Source organism: Homo sapiens, chromosome 14 (assembly GCF_000001405.40).
Source record: "Homo sapiens chromosome 14, GRCh38.p14 Primary Assembly".
NCBI lineage: Eukaryota > Metazoa > Chordata > Mammalia > Primates > Hominidae > Homo > Homo sapiens.
Window position 1 is genome coordinate 19061568 of NC_000014.9, and position 19851 is coordinate 19081418.

At 40.0% G+C, this 19851-nt stretch overlaps 1 pseudogene across 2 annotated transcripts in view; it reads left to right on the top strand.

Moving 5' to 3' along the window:
- Positions 1–809: 809 nt before the first annotated feature.
- Positions 810–19851, top strand: part of DUXAP9 (double homeobox A pseudogene 9) — a 45121-nt pseudogene continuing 26079 nt past the window's right edge. Inside the window, exons 1-6 of one of the 2 annotated variants that reach the window (NR_122112.1) lie at positions 810–899; positions 3016–3126; positions 4401–4548; positions 4669–4780; positions 6534–6647; positions 6866–7001. The product of NR_122112.1 is annotated as a double homeobox A pseudogene 9, transcript variant 2 (transcript). The remainder of the gene's footprint in view (positions 900–3015; positions 3127–4400; positions 4549–4668; positions 4781–6533; positions 6648–6865; positions 7002–19851) is intronic. The other variant, NR_122111.1, reaches the window with a different exon arrangement.

A 19851-nucleotide genomic window follows, 5' to 3' on the forward strand; every position in this document is an offset into this window, starting at 1 on the left:
AATCTGGAAGAAATGGATAAATTCCTTGACACATACACCCTCCCAAGACTAAACCAGGAAGAAGCTGAATCTCTGAAGAGACCGATAACAGGCTCTGAAATTGAGGCAATAATTAATAGCCTCTCCCTGGGAATGGGCGGGCCTGGGTCCAGTCCACAGGGCCCCTCGCGGGCCCTGACGCAGGATGGAGTTGAGGTGGGGGCAGCGCTGGACCCCAGGGCCCCTGCCTGCCTCCTGGGGAGCCCGGTGACCCAGGCAGCCCTGGTGAGGCTGTGGGTGTCTGGGCCATAGCGAGGCCCCCGGGCTCCCACAGGACAGATGCGGACAGTGAGGCCGGGGAGGCCCTGCTGCCCTCCGGACTGTCCCTCCAGCCCCCAGCTTTCTGTGGTTCTCTGGACCCCCTCTGCAGAGGGGCAGGGGAGCACACCCTGGATCCTGAGACGCCAAGCTTGAGGAACCCCAGAGCTCTAGCGAGGCTGCTTCCTTTGCGGATGGTGAAACTGAGGTCCAGAGGAGGGCAGGGGCAGGTCCCGGGTGCTCCCTAGGCAAAGGGAGCCGATCTCGGGGAGGGGGTCACAGGGAGCGTCCCTGCGACTTCTAGGGCCCGAAAGCTGGGGAGGATGAGAGACCAGGGGTCTTTCGTCGCCCCCTGGGGCTGGGCAGAGGCTCAGCCTGTGTTGCCACCCAAAGCTGCTTCTGGCAAGTCCGAGCCGCGTCCCTTTAAGAGGGGGTGGAGCTTCAACCTGGCACGAGGGATGCTGCCAGCGTGCGTGTCCCTACGGAAGCTGAGACTGCACTTCCTGCGAGGCCCCTGCAGCAGCAGCGGCGTGGTCAGAGCGAGCTTCGGAGAAGCAGTGGTGGGTTCCATGTGATGGTGGAGTAGGAGGCAGGTCTCCGCGGTAAGTGGCGGGGGCGTGGACCCCACCGGGAACCCTCCCGGCTCCTTCCCTGCCTCTCCCTGTTTTCGTGCTTTCACTTCTTCGTGGGCATCTGGGCCCGAGTCCTCCGCGTGGGGGCGGTTGTGGGGTCCTGGCTACTGCAGCGTCCGCACCCCGGCCGGGAAGGCTATGCCAATGTCCGACCCGCGTCCAGCATATAGGAGCGCCCTGGCCCAGAGCTGGCGGTGAAACGCCGGACCTGGGTCCCTCCGAGCCTCAGGGGCCTCTGAGCTGGAGTCTAGGATTATTTTTGATGCCTCAGCACCTTTAAAAAGAGACCTCGCTAGAGCAGGGGACATCTGTAGTTTCAGTTCTTTGAGGAGTCTCCAGCTATTTAGCTGTTTTCCATGGTGTGTATCCTAATTTTCATTTCCACCTACAGTGTATGAGTTTCCCTTTCTCCAAAACCATACCCGCATTCCTATTATTTTTGGTTTGGGGTTTGTTTTGTTTTTGTTTTGAGATGGAGTCTTGCTCTGTCTTCCAGGCTGGAGTGCAGTGGCGCCATCTCGGCAGACTGCAGCCTCTGCCTGGTTTTAAACAAGTCTCCTGTCTCGGCCTCCGGAGTAGCTGGGACTACAGGCGCCGCCACCATGCCCAGCTAATTTTTGTATTTTTAGTAGAGATGGGGTTTCACGATATTGGTCAGGCTGGTCTCAAACTCCTGACCTCAGGTGATCCACCTGCCTCGGCCTCGCAAAGTGCAGAGATTACAGGCATGAGACACCATTCCCAGCCCCTCTTATTTTTTAAATAAAAAATCTAGGAATATTCAATAAGTGTGAGATTATCTGTGTGTGGTTTTGAATTACAGTTTTCTAATGAATAGTTTATTTTGAGGACCTTATCTCTTATTTGTTGTTCGATTTTATGGCTGTGCAGAATTGTCTGTTCAGGTTCTTTGCAAAATATTAGATTGGATGCTTTTGCTACTTTGTAGTGTTTTTTGTGTACATGTTAGATGACAACTCCTCGTGAATTACATGATTGCCTGAAATTTTTGCCTAATCTATAGGATGCTTTTTAATTTGGAAAGTAGTTTTCTTTGATGTGCAGAAACTTTTCATGTTGACATAGTCCCATATATTTATTTTTGCGTTTCATGCATGTAATTTTTGTCACCCATATAAGAAAATATATATCAGTGACAAAGCATTTAATTGTCAATGAGGTTTTTCTTCTAGGGTGTTTGTTTATTTTCCTCTTTGCAAAGGTGAGCAGAGATTCAAGTGACCCAAAATATATGCTCATCCTGTGTTTTAGTTAAAAACATTTTGTGGTTTATGGTCTTTTGTTTTGCCTTCAATTTGGGGGAGGGGGTGTTCATTTTCATACATCGTGTAAAATAAGGTCCTATTTCTCACTTCTGCATCTGAATATCATTTTTCTCAAAGGTACTCATTCTCTGCCTTCCACATTGCAGTGTTCTTTATCAAAGTCAGTTGACTGTGTCCATATTTGTGTTGATCATGTTTTTGTTCTCCCTGTTTTTGTCCATAGTTTATGCAAGTATCATATATCAGCTGTATAACTACAACTTGGCAGTGTAATTTGATATTGAGGATTGTGGGTCTTCACTTTGTATTTCTGAGGATTCCTTTAGATATTCATTGCTTTTGTGGTTCCCTGTGATTTTTAGCAATACCTATTTATTTCTATTAACTTTTTTTCACAACATAAAGGTCCATAATTAGGGGTACATTTTCATACATATAGGTTGGGTAATGATCAAATCAGGGTACTTAGGATCTATATTTGCTCGTCCAGGCATTTTTTTTTTTTTTTTTTTTGTGGGGAGAACATTCAAAATTCTCCCTTCTTGCTCTAGAAAAATATGATATTGTTTACTCCAGTCACCAGGCTGAGGAGGAGAACTTCAGATTTATTCCTTTAATGTTAAGATAACTTTGTTTCCATAATCAATCCTTCCCCATTCCCCCTCTATCTCCCAAACTCTGGTAACCAATATTGTGCTTTCTACTTCATTAAGATAAACATCTTAAGATTTCACGAGTGGTATCATGCAGTGTTTGTCTTTCTAGGCCTAGCTCATTACATTTAACATAATGTGTTCCAGGTTCATCTGTGTTGCTCTAAATGACACTGTTTCATTATTTTGATGGCTGGAGAATATTTCCTAGTGTATGTATATGAGAGTTTCTTGATCTCTTTATCTGTGGATGAACAGGTAGGTTGAATTTATACCCAGTAATGGGACTGCTAGATGATATGGTATTTCTTTTTTTCCTATTCTTTGCAAGACCTCCAACTGTTTTTTATAGTGTTAATACTAATTTATGTTTCCACAAACAGTTCCCCTTTCTGGAAATTCATACCAGGAATTGTCTTTTTAAATATTTTGATCTTTTTGTAATGTTCATTCTATTGGAGTGAGATAAGATCTGAGTGTGGTTTTGATCTGCATTTTTCTCGTGAGTAGTAATGTTAACCACGTTTTTGTAGACATTGGGTCAGTTTCCTGTCTTCTTTAGAAAAATATCTAATCCGGTTATTTGCCCAGTTTTTGTCTGGCAATTGTTCTGTTGTTTTTTTTTTTTTGTTTGTTTTTGTTTTTTTTTTGCCAGCTGGTAGTATGACTCGCTTGTACCTTTTCAAAAATAATCCCTTATCCCAAACTTGTAATTTTTAGTGTGCCTTTTTATTTTCTTTATTGTTTCCTTTGTTGGGCACAAACGCTTCAGCTTGACGTGGTCCCACATGTGCATAATTTCTTGGTGGCTGTGCTGTTGGTTACTAATCAAGAAAAAACAAAATCACAAATCACTACCAAAGCAGTTCATTGTCAATAATTTTTTTCCCTTGTATTTTTGTTTACTTTTTGCGAACCCTAAGCATACATCCAAGTTGCCCTAAATATACGCACACCTGAGGTTGTCTTTATAGGAGCTTTATGGTTGCAAGTTTTGTGTATAATCTTTAATCATTTTGAGTTGATTATTGTGTATCTAGTACCATAAGAGTCCTGTATTATTCTTTTGCATATGGATATCTAGTTTTGGAAATCTTCCCCGTTGTGTCATTTTGGTGGTGTTTTGAAAAATGTGTTCATTCCATATAAATTTTTGTTTATTATCGAGCACATTCATTTTGCTCACTGGTCTGTGTTTCTCTGTGTATGCCAGTAACGTATGGGTTTGTTAACTACAGATTTTCATTTAATTAGAACTCAGGGAATGTGACACATCCCATATGGTTTGTATTTCTCAGAATAACTTTGGAAATTCAGGGTGTTTCACATTTCCACATAAATTTTGGCATTGTTTCTTTATATTTCTTAAAACACTATTTGTCATATACTAAATGTATACAATTAAAAGGTACAAGGAAGATTTTGATACGTGTATATGTTGAGTAATGATAAAATCAGGTTATTTAGCATCTCTTCATCTCATATAGTTATTATTTTTGAGTGGTAACAACATTCAGAATCTTTCCTTCTAGCTACTTTGAAACATATGATACATTTGTGTTAAGGCTAGTCACCCTGCTGTGGAATAGAAGGCCAGAATTGATCAGTCTCATCTGAGAGTAACTTTGTACCCATCACTGATTCCTTCTGAGACTGCCTCCACTTCCCCAGCAGCCTCTGGTAAGCCTTATTGAACTTTCCACTTCTAGAAGATAAAGCTTTCTTCAGTCTGCATGCCTGAGATCACGTGGCATGGGACTTTCTCTACCAGCCTTATTCTTTGAACCTCATGTTCTTCAGGTTTCTTCATGTGGCTGCAGATGGCAGGATTTCCCAAAGGTTTCTGGCTGAAACATATTCCGTGGTGTATCTGTACAGCAGTTTCCTCATCCCTGCAGCTGTGTTTGAACAGGTAGGTTGGTTCTCTACCTTGGCCACAGTTAAGAGTGCTTTAGTACCCGTGGGAAGGCAGATAGCTCTCTTCAACCTAGGGACTTCAACTGCTTTAAATGTGGAACCAGTGGTGGGGCTGTTAGCTGACATGGTAGTTGTACTGTGAATTTTTTCAGAAACCTCTAGCTGTTTTTTATAGTGTGTATACTAATTTACATCCTCACCAATAGTGTTTAAGAGGTTACCTTTCTGTAAGTCTACACTGGATGTCACCTTCAAAAATTTGTGTTTTGTTTTTGGTAGTACTCATTCTGAGTGGAATGAGACGGAATCTTAGTGTGGTTTTCATGGACATTTTTTTGTGAGGTTTAGTGATGTCGAGAAAGTTATTTGAGAAATCCCCACATTGCTTTCCATGGTGTCCGAACTAGTTTGCATTTCCACCAACAGCAGACCAGCATCCCTCCTCCTCTGCCTTGCTGGTGTTCATTCTTGTGGACTGTGTCATAATTGTCATTCATCAGAATGTGTGAAATACTATCTCATGGGCCTTTAGCTTTGCATTTCTCTGATGATTCCTGAGGTAAAGCAATGATATCTTGTCTGTTGGTTGCTGTAAACCTTCTTTTGAGATGCATGTTTTCATGCCCCTTACCCTTTCTTCATCGAGTTTTTGTTTTTCTGATTTATTTGCTTAATGTATTTGAGGTAGATCCTGGATATTAGACTTCATCAGATGCGTATGTGGGAACATTTTCTCCCATTGTGTAGGCTGTCTGTTTACTGTGTTGGTAATTGCTTCTGCTGTGCAGCAGCTCTTTTGTGTATTAGGCCCCACTTGTCAATAATTGTTTTAGTTGCACTTGCTTTTGGGGACTTAGGCATAGACATGCTCTGCCAAATCCTCTGTCAAGAAGGGTATTTCCAAGTTCTCTTGCAGGCTTCTCATAGTTTGAGGTCTTGTGTTTACATCTTTCATTCATCTTGAGTTAATTTCTGTGCAGGGTGAGACACAGGGGCCCACTGTTTTTCTTCTGCAACTGGCTAGCACTTTATCCTGGCACCATCTATTGAGAGGAGGGAGTCCTTTCTCCAAAGCTTATTTTTGTGGATTTTTTTGAAGATCAGATGGTGTTAGGGGTGTGGGTTTACATCTGGGTCCTCTAATCTGTTCCACTGCTCTGTGTGAAATGGGGTCCCTAGCTTTTCAATGAAAATTAAAATCGGGAAGTGTGACACAACCAATGTAGTGTGGACTTCTCAGGATTGCTTTAGAAATTCAGGGTGTTTTGTGGTCTGCATGAATTTTAGCATTGCATATTTACATATTTTTTAAAAGGTTGGCCATATAGTAAAGGTATACAATGGGGGGAGTTAGAGTGGGGCATTTTGGTTAATGCAGACACAGAGGAATGTTAAAATCAGGATATTTAGAGTCTCTGTTATCACAAACAGTTGTTAATTTATTTGTGGTGGAAACATTTGGAATCTTCTTTTCCAGATTTTGTGAAAAAGCTGTGATGTTTTGTTAACCTCTGGTCACAGTGCTGTGGAACAGAGAGGAACAATTCATTGCTCTCATCTAAGTGTAATTTTGTACCTATTTCTGATCCCTGCCCATGCCCCTGCTTCCTTCCAATCTCTGGAAACCACTGTTGTGCTCTCTAGATCTATTGCAATAAAGCCTTTTATTTTGGGTTCTACATGAGTGAGATGTGGCAATGTTTTTCTTTCTCTACCTGGTTCAGGTCATTTACCATGCTGTCCTCCAGGTTCAACAGTATGGCTCCAAAGGATGAAATTTCATTCTGATTTTCTGGCTGAAGACTATTCTCTTTGTGTATGTCCACCACAGTTACTTTATCCCTTCATCTGTGGATGGGCAGGTAAGTTTATTCCTTATCTTGGCGATTGTGAATAGTGCTGCAGTCCACATAGGATGGCTGATACCTCTTGCATAAACTGATTTCTTTGGCACTGAAAGTATACTTAGTAGTAGAATTGTTAGATGAAGTGGTAGTTGTAGGTTTAATTTTTGGAGGAACCTCCCACTGGTTTCTGTAGTATGTATACTAATTAACATTCTTTTTTTTTTTGGATGGAGTCTCGCTGTATTGCCCAGGCTGGAGTGCAGTGGCATGATCTCAGCTCACTGCAAGCTCTGCTTCCTGGGTTCACGCCATTCTCCTGCCTCAGCCTCCTGAGTAGCTGGGATTACAGGCACCCGCCACCACGCCCAGGTAATTTTTTATACTTTTAGTAGAGACGGGGTTTCACCGTGTTAGCCGGGGTGGTCTCGATCTCCTGAACTCGTGATCTGCCGGCCTCGGCCTCCCAAAGTGCTGGGATTACAGGCGTGAGCCACCGTGCCCGGCTGTATACTAATTAACATTCTTACCAAATGAGTTTTTCTCTGGAAATTTCCACCAGCATTTGTGTCTCTTTTAATATATTGTATCACTTTGATAACATCCATTTGAATTATAGTGAGATATGTGTGTTGTTTTGATTTATATCTTTCTCATGGTTTGTGATGTTATTCAAGTTTTTAAAACTTGTTTTCAATGTTATGTCTTTTTTGTAGAAATGTCTATTCAGGTTTTGTTTGGTTATTAGTTTCTCTTTTGTGTTTTTGCTAGTGAGTAGTGTTAGTTGCTTAGACATTTTGAAGACAGCCTTTTATCAGATGTATGTTTGTCGAAACGTTTCTTGTAGAATGAAACATATATGGAAATGTTCTGTGCAATCAAAACAGCAGTGGTAACAGAGGAGATGTAGGCTCTGAGTGTCTCACTGGAGACTGAAGTCCACAGATATGCAACAAAGCCTTTGTCTCCCTGATGTTTTTGCCTCCTGCTGGTCATGTGCTTTCACACATCAAGAGAGGACATTTAACATTTGAGCCACAGTGTCATTTGCTGTTGTCTGATGGGTGAGATTTTTGCTGGCGTAATCCATATTGTCATATGTTCTTGGGGCCCACAAGATTATTCTTGGTCATCTAAGATGTTACTGACATCTTATCACCTTAAGATGTTGCTGACTTAATCACCTTCAACTGACTCCTATTCATTCTTTGAAATAAGCAGACACATGTTGTTTCAGTGATTCTTTCAGTTGGTGATTTGCCTGGTGCATTGCTGTGTGAGGTCACCTCCCGTCAAATGACCCACAGGTGGTAACAGTCTGTGAACAAACAGTTTACAGGAGGGACCAACCATGTGCGGACGGACATGGGGTGGGTCATTTCAAAGTGAGGTAGTCAACCTGGGCCCTAGACTGGCACAGACAGAAGAAGCCACAATCCTTTAGAGAGAAAAAAATTACAAAGTATAAATATCCTTTGTTAAGAGAAATAGAGACCATTTTCAGAGGGCGTAATAGTATTAAAATGTGTTCTCATTGTTCAGCTCCCACTTACGAGCGAGAACATGCAGTGTTTGGTTTTCTGTTCCTGTGTTAGCTTGCTGAGGATGATGGCTTCCAGCTTCATCCCTGTCCCTGCAGAGGACTTGATCTCATACCTTTTTATGGCTGTGTAGTATTCCATGATGTATATGTAGTACATTTTATTTTTCCAGTCTATCATTGATGGGCATATGGGTTGGTTCCAAGTCTTTACCATTGTGAATAGTGCTGCTATAACCATACATGGAGCAGATGGTTCTCAAAGCAAGATGGACCTCTGAGCAAGATGAGCTCCAAGCTTGATGGAGCTCAGAGCAGATGGAGCTCCAGGTGAGATGGAGCTCCGATTAATATGAAGCTCGGAGCAGATGTTTCTGAGTATGATGGAGCACCAAGCCTGTGGTCTCAGAGCAAGATGGAGCTCCGAGCAGATGGTACTCAGAGCCAGATGGAGCTAGGAGTGACTGGGGCTCTGAGCAAGGTGGAGCTCAGAACAGATGGTGCTCAGAGCAAGATGGAGCTTGGAGTGATTGGAGCTCCAAGCAAGATGGAGCTTGGAGCAGATGGAGCTCTTAGCAGATGGAACTCAGAGCACCATGGAGCATGGAGTGTCCAGCTCAGAGCAAATATAGCTCAGACAAGAAGGAGCTCCAAGCAAGATGGAGCTTGGAGCCGATGTTCCTCTGTGTAAGATGGAGCCCAGAGCAAGATAAAGCTTGGAGTCGTTGGAACTCTCAACAGTTCTCTGAGCAGTTGGAACTCTGAGCAAGATGGAGCTCTGAACAAGATGGTACTCAGAGCAGATGAAACTCTGAGCAATAAGGAGATCTAAGCAAGATGGAGCTTTGTGCAGATGTTGCTCAGTTTCAGATGGAGCTCAGAGCAGATGGTGCTCAGAGCATGATGGAGCTCAGAATGATTAGAGCTCCAAGCAAGATGGAGCTCAGAGAAGATTGAGCTTGGAGCAGATAGAGCTCTGAACAAAAAGGAGCTCCAAGCAAGATGGAACTTGGAGCAGATGTTGCTCGGTGTAAGATGGAGCTCAGAGCAGATGCTCGTAACAACATGGAGCTTGAAATGATTGGAACTTAAAAACTTTACTCTGGAGGATTGGAACTCTGAGCAGATAGTGATCAGAGCAAGATCAGCCTCGGAGTGATTAGAGCTTCGAGCACAATGGGGCTTGGAGCAGATGCAGCTCTGAGCAAGATGTAGCTCAGAAAACATGTTGCTCACAGTAAGATGTAGCTTGAGCAGATGGTGTTCAGAGCAAAATGATGCTGGAAGTAATTGGAGCTCTCAGCAAGCTGGAGCTCGGAGCAGATGGAGCTTGGAGCAAACGAAGTTCGGAGCAAGAAGGAGCTCTAAGCAAGATGGAGCTTGGGGCAAATGTTCCTCAGTTTCAGATGGAGTTCAGAACAGATGGTGCTCAGAGCAAGATGGAGCTCAGAGAACATGCTGCTTACAGTAAGATGGAGCTTCGAGCACATGATGCTCAGAACAAAATGGAGCTGGAAGTGATTGGAGATATCAGCAAGATGGAGCTAGAAGATGCAGCTCCGAGAATATGGAGCTCTGAGCAGAGGGTACTCAGAGCAAGATGGAGTTTGGAGGGATTGGAGCTCTGAGAAAGATGGAGCTTGGAGCAAATGGAGCTCTGAGTAAATGGAGCTCTGAGCAAAGTGGAGCTCAGAGTGATGGAAGCTCTAAAGCAAGATGGAGCTGGGAGTAGATGGAGCTTCAAGAAGATGGTGCTCAGAGCAAGATGGAGCTTGGAGTGATTGGATCTCCGAACCAGATGGAGCTCAGATCAGATAGACCTCTGAGCAAGAAGGAGCTCCAAACAAAATGGAACTTGGAGCAGATGTTGCTGGTGTAAGATGGAGCTCAGAGCAGATGGTACTCAGAGCAAGAGGGAGCTCAGAATGATTGGCACTCTGAACATGCTCTGAGCAATTGGAGCTCTGAGCAAGATGCAGCTCAGAGCAGACAGAGCTCTGAGCAAAAAAGGAGCTCTAAGCAAGATGGAGTTTGGAGGAGACGTTGCTTGGTTTTAGTTGGAGCTCAGAGCAAAACGGAGCCCACAGTGATTACAGCTCCAAGCAAGGTAGAGCTCAGAGCACATGTAGCTCAGAGTAAGATGAGCTCTGTCCACATGGTGCTCAGAGCAAAATGGAGCTAGAAGTGATTGGAGCTCCCAGCAAGATGGGGCTTGGAGTGATTGGAACTCCTAGCAAGATGGAGCTCAAAGTGGATGGATCTCTGACTAGATGGAGCTCTGAGTAAGATGAATGTCTATGCAGATGTTGCTCACAGCAAGATAGTGCTTGGAGCGATTGGCACTTCGAGCAAGATGGAGCTTGGAGCAGATGGAGCTCTGAGCAAGATGGAGCTTGGAGTAGATAGAGCTTGGAGCAAGAAGGAGCTCCAAGCAAGATGGAGCTTGCAGCAGGTGCTTCTCAGTGTAAGATGGAGCTCAGAGAAGATGATGCTCAGAGCAAGGTTGAGCTCAGGGTGATTGGCACTCCAAACATTGCTCTGAGCCCATTGGAGCTCTGAGCAAGAAGGTGGGAAGTGAGCAAGAAGGTGAAGAAGTGATACATTCCCACAGAACATTACAAGTTTAGCGGAAGCTATTATTGAATGTAAAGAGAAGAATGCCCCAGAATTCTATGTGGATTGTCGGGACAATACTCATTTCTGTAATCAGGCCTACTTTCTTTTAAAAAGTTTATCATATCAAACCTCACAAGGACAACCAGAACTCTGCGATATCCACTCTACAAACCTCAGACCCCTACAGTGTAGTAAAGGTGGCAGCCAAGATAGAAAGACAGAAACACACTGTTTGATGACCAGTCTTTGGAAGTTGAGACAGCAAATGTGGATTTACTCAGATTATTTTCCTGTTAGCACCTCCAGGTGTTATTTTGATGGTACTTTGCATTGGGCTGATGACACAATGGGGAAACATAAACTGCTGACGCTGGACTTCAGCAGTACAGTAACAGCCATGTGCAAGGCCATTGAAAAAGTAAAGACTGGTGGTTACATTGCCACGTGTTTTTCTGCATGGCATCATCATCTTAACTATGGACTTTATGTGCTTTCACAGCAAGATGTTTCTAGTATTTAGAAATGGACCTTATGCATTGTATACTTCCTAAGAGCTTGGAAAGCTCTCACCCAGGTACTACCAAATGCCAGACATCTCTCTATGTGGGCCATTTTCTGCCACAGCCAGAATTCATTCTGGGTGACATGCTGTTCTTGGCTGCTAAGGAAGTGATGTGGGGGAGCCAGGTGTCTCTCGCTGTCTGTGAGTCTATGGGAAAAAGGAGAATACTGAAAGGCACTAAGTTTACTGCCATGTTTAGAGGAGCTTTGTCAAGGCAACACAAGAGTGTTGTAGTCCTTTGTGGCCAACACCAACCTGAGTTTTTACAGCAGTTGTTGCATAATGATCACAGTCACATTCAAGTTCACTTTCTAAATCTTAGGTTCTACAAAAACTCTGTCTGATAATGTCCTATAGACCTTTCGGTAGCTAAAATCAATGAGTTTGAAAAATAATTTGAATTTGGCTTGCTCACCTTTTCAGCAGAATGCACTTGTGAGTCCTGCTCTGTCATTGTATTTTACATGTGTGGCTGTCCCTCTTGCTGTGTTGGAAGTCAGTGTTCCAGAATGTTAACTTCTACAAATACCTATGTATAGAGCAAAGAGAAAACTCTTCAAGTCAAAAGAGTGTATATTATTTCAGGGCAGCTCTCTAGCCTTGGATTTGAAACTATAGTATTTGTTACACAGAGAGAAGATGGTTCTTTTTTGTATTTTATTTTTAATGTTTGTGGGTACATAGTATTTATGGAGTACATGAGATGTTTTGACACGGGCATTCAATGTGAAAAAAAGCACATCCTAGAGAATGGGGTATCCCCTCAGTGATTCTTTGAGTTACAAATATTCCAATTACACTCTTTATGTTATTTTCAAATATATGATTAAGTTATTATTGACTATAGTCACCTGGGTTTGCTATCAAATAGTAGGTTTTTATTATATATTATTTCTTTTTTGTTTTTTGTATCCATTAACAATTCCTACCTCCCCCTCACTCTCTCACTACCCTTCCCAAGCTCTGGTAATCATCCTTCTACTCTCTACGTCCATGAGTTTAATTGTTTTTATTTTTAGATCCCGGAAATAAGCGAGAACACATGATGTTTGTATTTCTGTGCCTGGCTTATTTTTCTTGACATAATCATCTTCAGTTCCATCCATGTTGTTGCAAATGACAGGCTTTCATTTTTATGGCTGAATAGTACTCCACTGTGTATATGTACCACATTTTCTTCATTCATCTGTTGATGGACACTTAGGTTGCTTTCAAATATTAGTAATTGTAAACAGTGCTGCAGCAAACCTAGGAGTGCAGAAATCTCTTTGATATACTCATTTCCTTTCTTTTGGGTATATACCAAGCAGTGGGATTTTTGGATCATATGGTAGTATATCTGTTTTTTTTCAGGAAACTCCAAACTGTCCAAGGAGATAGTTCTGTTGTGATTACTTCATTGAGAAATTTAACTTATGAGCAGTTGAAAGGAATGCAAGTTGCTGCAAAATCAGAATGAAGAGTGCAAAACGACTAAGCTACAATGTTTTGTCATTATTCACTCTGATGTGAAAAAGGCAGTGAATTTAATAGAAAATAACTTCGTAGAGCAAAATCTCAGGTGTGTTTTTTTAGTGCCGCAGTCTTGGATGATGGGTTCCTAGAAGCTCTCAACATCTCTTCTTAATTGGAGAAAGTGTTAAGCCCCAAAGTAGCTGGAGCAGTACATCTTCAATTTTTGACAAGAAAGCAGGAACTTGATTACTTTGAGTGCTATTCATTAGTTTCTGCTTTCATTGAGAATGCAACAAAAGCCAACTAGGCTGCTGCTAACTCCTTGCTGGACTTCTTCTGCCACTGTCACAGGAACTGTAATCTCACTGGACAATTAACTAGGGAGTCTTTCATCTTGAGTGACTGCTGCACAAATGATCTTCAAAGCATTTTAGCCACCAGAGGAATTCTCTTGAAATACCCAAAATCCATCAGTATCTTGAATCATGCTGGATTTTGAAGAATTCTTAACAAGCCATGTAAAGGGGGCTCTCTGGCCTTGAAATAGTGATGTTTTTTATACAGAAAGGAGAATGCAGAATGGTCAGACTACCATGCACTGTTAAATTTGATTTCAAGAAATTACAGGAAAACTTTCCAAAGTTCCATCTCACAGAAATTATTTTTACAAAGAATTCCAAGATAAGTTTAGTTTTATGGAAGACTTTTATGTGGTTTTTACTCACTCTTCATCTCAGACATCAACAGATGATTACATCACTTATTTAGCTAGTAAATTTATTAATATAAAAACTCAGAGACATTCCAATATCCACATTGCTTACACCATTAGGCATAGATTCAGTGTCAGCTATGACAATTGAAAATAAGCTGTTTTGTGATTTAAAGGTTTAAATTTCTCTAACCAAACTGCTTGATCCAGATGCAGGACTGCAAATGTTAATATTTGTTCTGGAAGAACAATCAAATAAGACTTAAGAGGAAAAGGAATGGCCACAATCCACCTGAAATTTTTTTTTTAAAAAGTGTGCAGCCTACTAAATCAGAATGAAAATAGAAGTACAAGATTATAAACAAAATGCAATCAAACTTTTCTTAAGCTTACCTAAAGTTATTTCATCTGAAAATTTCAAGCAACTTTGTTCAACATTAAATTGACAATCTAAACTAACAAGTCTTTTGAATTTATGCATGGTAGTAAACATTCTCTCTATTAACTTTATTACCTAAGGCTAAACCTAAAATTTTTAAGCAAAATTAGAAAAATAGTCTTCACTCATCAAAAAATAAAGTTTGTTACATTTAGTATTTTCCCAATAAAATTGGTCGTTCTTGGTTTTTTATTTGGAGAGTCTGTGCAAAATGTCACTAAAAATAAATTAGCACTAGAAATTATTTCTAAATACCAAAAAAAAAAAAAATGAAGAATGGTTTCACAAAGAAAAAAAGAAAACTTTCTTAATTAGCAGAGTATCATCTCTGTGATTTTTGTGATTATTTGATCAGTGTGCTGAGATGGATACAATGGCAAGTAATGACAAAATTAAAATAAGCATGCAGATTTTTTTAAATTAAGTGCCAAAAAATAATGGGTCGTGCAAAGCCCTTAAAAACACTGTGGCCTAATTCTAAAGTTTTTTGCTACTATGCTACATCACACCCAACATCAGTTAAGTGCTCATTCTGTGACAGGTAGTACATTACATTTTAGCAAACTACACAAGACCCCTATGTGATAATATGCTTCGGGGTTGTAAGGTTGGGTGCGTTTAGTAGTCTTGAATTTTCTGGGAGTATACAAACCCAATATTAGTCTAGATGCCCAAAGATCTATTTAGACGTCAAAGTAGAATGGAGAGAAATCTTGACCACAGGAAGCTGTGTTGTGGCATTTATTTTGAAATTATTTTTTCTTGATTTTTTTGCCTTTTAATTCTTTTGTGAGTTTTATAATGCACAGAATATTTTTAAATTATTATATATATAAACTGATTAGTCTTCAATTTAAACTTACACCTCTGGGGTCTTACTTGGGTTTCTCCTAACAATATTATACACATATTTGCAATAATTTCTCTCATACTGCTTTTAACTCATTTAATTTTTCAACTTTTTAAGAATAACAAAAGTGATATTAACTGTAAAAATGCTGAAGTGACATATGAATTTATGAAGTGCATATGTATTTTTTATTTTACCAATGAGATGGGAGAAATGCTGTCTTATATTTTAACATACATTTTGGCCATTACACAGATGAAGCAACTTTTCATTTGTTAATACATAGCATACGTTTTCTTCTGTGTAATTCCTCTTTATATTCTTTGCTCATTTTCCCACTGGGATTTGCAAGTTCTTTATTATTTGATAATCTCTATACATTCTGAATATCCATTTTTTTGTTATATATACCATGTAAATATTTTCTTCTAATTTATTTGTCTCAATGGTATTTATCAAGTGTTTGCTAAAAATGAGTTTGTTTAGTTAGTAAAATTTGTCTGTCTTTTACTTCATGATATTTATATTTCATGTCATGAGGAAAAGGCATGAATATTTTAAAAACTTCCTTGTAGTATTAATTTTATTTTTTATTTCATTCTTTAAGTTATTTGAAATTTATTGTTTATTTCTTCAAATTCCAAATAATAACCAACTTTCTCAAAGTAATACTTCTTTCTACTGATTTCAAATGTTACATTTGTCTTCTCTGAAGTTCTTGTCTATTTGATACCTGACGGTCACACTACTGCTGTGGATGTGCTTCGTACCACCACAGTACTGTAGGGTTATAAGATTATCTGATAGCCAATAGAAGCAGACCTCTACTCACTGTCATTCTTTTTTCTTTTGGAGAAGAAAGTTAGCTATTTTTATCTGGGTTCTCAATTTTTTTTTTTTTCTTTTTGAGATGAAGCCTTGCTCTCTCACCCAGGCTAGAGTGCAGTGGCATAATCTTGGCTCTCTGCAACCTCTGCCTCCCTGGTTCAATTGATTCTCCTGCCTCAGGCTCCTGAGTAGCCAGGATTACAGGCATCCATCACCACGCCTGGCTAATTTTTTTATTTTTAGTAGAGACAGGGTTTCACCATCTTGGCCAGGCTGGTCTTGAACTCCTGACCTCGTGTTGCACCCACCTCTGATTCCCAAAGTCCTGGGATTACAGGCATGAGCCACCGCACCTAACCGGGTTCTCAGTTTCGTATAAACTTTAAAGTAGATTATCAAATCACATACCAATTGCCATCTGATTGAAATTTCAATGTTTTTATATGTAAGTTTCGAGACTAAAGCCATCTCTATTCTTTCAGCACTTCAGATGTTTATCTTTCAATTCAAAATGTATTCTAAGTTTTATTTTGATGTTTCTTTGTGAATTATTCAGAAGTTTGTTGTTTGATTTCCAAACACTTGTGTGTTTACTAAGTATCTTATTGATATTCATTTTTTTCTTTTTTAATTTATATTTTAGGTTCAGGGGGTACACGTGCAGCTTTGTTATGTAGGTAAATTGCATGTTGCTGGGGTTTCATGGAAAAAATAATTTAGTCACTGAGGTAGTGAGCATAGTACCTGATAGGCATAAGTAATTTTTCAATCTTCACCGATTTTTCACCCTCTACCCTCACACAGGCCCTAGTATCTATTGGTCCTTGTTTTGGACCATGTGGAGCCAATGTTTATCTCTCATTTATAGGTGATAATATATGCTGTCTTTTTCTGTTTTTGTGTTAATCTGCTTAATTTGTGGGATGTAGCCTCCAGCTACATCCATTTTGTTGCAAAAGCCATAAATTTATTGTTTTTTTGTTGCTACACAGTATTTCATGGTGTATATGTACCAATTTTTTTTCTTTTTGAGATAGAGTCTCACTCCGACACCCAGGCTGGAGTGCTGTGGCATAATCTGGGCCCACTGCAACCTTCGCCTCCCAGGTTCAAGCTATTCTGCCACCTCAGTTTCCCAAGTAGCTGGGTCTACAGGCATGTACCACCATGCCTGGCTAATTTTTGTATTTTTAGTAGAGATGGTGTTTCACCATGTTGGCCAGGCTTTTCTCAAACTCCTAATATCAGATGATCCGCCCATCTCGGCCTCCCAAAGTGCTGGGAATACAGGCGTGAGCAACCACGTCAGGCGGTACACATTTTTTTTTTTCTAGTCCACCACTGATGAGCCTCTAGGTTGGTTCCATGTTTTTGCTACTGTTAATAGTGCTGTGATAATCATACAAGTACATGTGTCATTTGATAGAACAATTCATATTTCTTTGTGTATGTGCCCAGTAATGAGACTGCTGCGCCAAATGGTAGTTCTGTTTAAGTTTTTTGAGAAATCTTCACACTGCTTTATACAATGGCTGAATTAATTTACATTCCCAACGGAAGTGTATAAGATTTCCCTTTTCTCTGCAACCTCAGCAACATCTGTTATTTTCTGACTTTTTATTAGTAGCCATTGTGATTGGTATGAAATGGTATCTCATTGTGGTTTTCATTTGCATTTCTCTAATGATTAGTGATTTTTAAAATGGAGCATTTTTTCATATTCTTGTTAACAGCATGTATGTCTTTTTTGAGAAGTGTCTGTTCTTGTCCTTTGCCCATTTTTCAATGAGGTTGTTTAGTTTTTGCTTAAAAATTTTTTTAAGTTCCTTACAGGTTCTGGATATGAGACCTTTGTCAGATCCATAGTTTGCAAATATTTTCTCCCATTTTGTCGGTTGTCTGTTTACTCTGCTGATAGTTTCTTTTGTTGAACATAATCTCCTTAGTATACTTAGGTCCCACTTGTCTATTTATGTTTTTGTTGCAATAGCTATTGGAAACTTGATCATAAAATCCTTGTTATTGCCTATGTCCAGAATATTATGTTCTGGGCTTTTGTCTAGGGTTTTTATACTTTTAGGTTTTACATTTAGGTCTTTAATCCATCTTAAGTTGATTTTTTTAATATGTTGGAAGGAAGTTGTCCATTTTAAATCTTCTGAATATGGCTAAACAGTTATCCTAGTACCATTCATTGAATAGGGAGTCTGTTCCCATTGCTTCTAATTATAGACTTTGTCAAAGATCAGATGGTTGTAGGAGTGCAGCCTACAACCTTCTCTAATCTGTTCCATTGGCTTTTGTGTCATGGTTTTTGTACCAGACCTATGATGTTTTGGTTACTATATCCTTGGAGTATAGTTTGTGAACCCTCAAAATCTGAGACAGTTCTCAGTTAATTTACAAAGTTGACATTGCCCAGCTAGCCATATGTAGAAAGCTGAAACTGGATCCCTTCCTTACACCTTATACAAAAATTAATTCAAGATGGATTAAAGACTTAAATGTTAGACCCAAAACCATAAAAACCCTAGAAGAAAACCTAGGCAATACCATTCAGGACATAGGCATGGGCAAGGACTTCATGTTTAAAAACACCAAAAACAATGGCAACAAAAGCCAAAATTGACAAATGGGATCTAATTAAACTAAAGAGCTTCTGCACAGCAAAAGAAGCTACCATCAGAGTGAACAGGCAACCTACAGAATGGGAGGAAATTTTTGCAATCTACTCATCTGACAAAGGGCTAATATCCAGAATCTACAATGAAGTCAAATTTACCAGAAAAAAACAAACAACCCCATCAACAAGTGGGCGAAGGATATGAACAGACACTTCTCAAAAGAAGACATTTATGCAGCCAAAAGACACATGAAAAAATGTTCATCATCACTGGCCATCAGAGAAATGCAAATCAAAACCACAATGAGATACCATCTCACACCAGTTAGAATGGCGATCATTACAAAGTCAGGAAACAACAGGTGCTGGAGAGGATGTGGAGAAATAGTAGCACTTTTACACTGTTGGTGGTACTGTAAACTAGTTCAACCATTGTGGAAGTCAGTGTTGCGATTCCTCAGGGATCTAGAACTAGAAATACCATTTGACCCAGCCATCCCATTACTGGGTATATACCCAAAGGATTATAAATCATGCTGCTATGAAGACACATACACACATATGTTTATTGCGGCACTATTCACAATAGCAAAGACTTGGAACCAATCCAGATGTCCAACAATGATAGACCGGGTTAAGAAAATGTGGCACATATACACCATGGAATACTATGCAGCCATAAAATTTATGAGTTCATGTCCTTTGTAGGGACATGGATGAAGCTGGAAACTGTCATTCTCAGCAAACTATCACAAGGACAAAAAACCAAACACCACATGTTCTAACTCATAGGTGGGAATTGAACAAAGAGAACACTTGGACACAGGAAGGGGAACATCACACATTGGGTCTGTTGTGGGGTGGGGGGAGGGGGGAGGTATAGCATTATGAGATATACTTACTGTAAATGATGAGTTAATGGGTGCAGCACACCAACATGGCACATGTATACATATGTAACAAACCTGCACATTGTGCACATGTACCCTAGAACTTAAAGTGTAATAAAATATATATATATGTATATAAAAATAAGTGGCTGATCAGGAAAAAAAAATTTAGGAAGTAGAATTCAACAACACATCAAAAAGATTATACAACATGATTAAGTGGGAATTATCTCTGGCATGCAAGGCTGGTTTAACATATGTAAATCAATGTGATATATCACATTAACAAAATGAAAGGTAAAACCACATGGTCACCTGAATTGATGCAGAGAAAGCATTTAACAAAGTTTAGCAACCTTTCTTGATAAAACCTTTTAATAGTTTATGTATAGAAGGAAAGTTCCTCAACATAATAAAGACCGTTTATGAGAAACCCATGGCCTACATCATAGTCAGTGGGGAATAACTAAAAGCTTTTCTACTAAGATTGAGTACAAGATAGGGATGCCCAGTCTCATCACTTTTATTGAACATAGTACTTGCAAGAGCAATCTGATGAGGAAAAAAAAGCAACTAAATTAAAGAAGTAAAATTATCTCTATCTGCAGATGACAAGACCCTTTATGTAAAAAACTCCAAACATTCCACAAAAAACTCTGAGAACTACTAAATCAATTCAGTTAAGCTGCAAAGTATAAACTCAACAT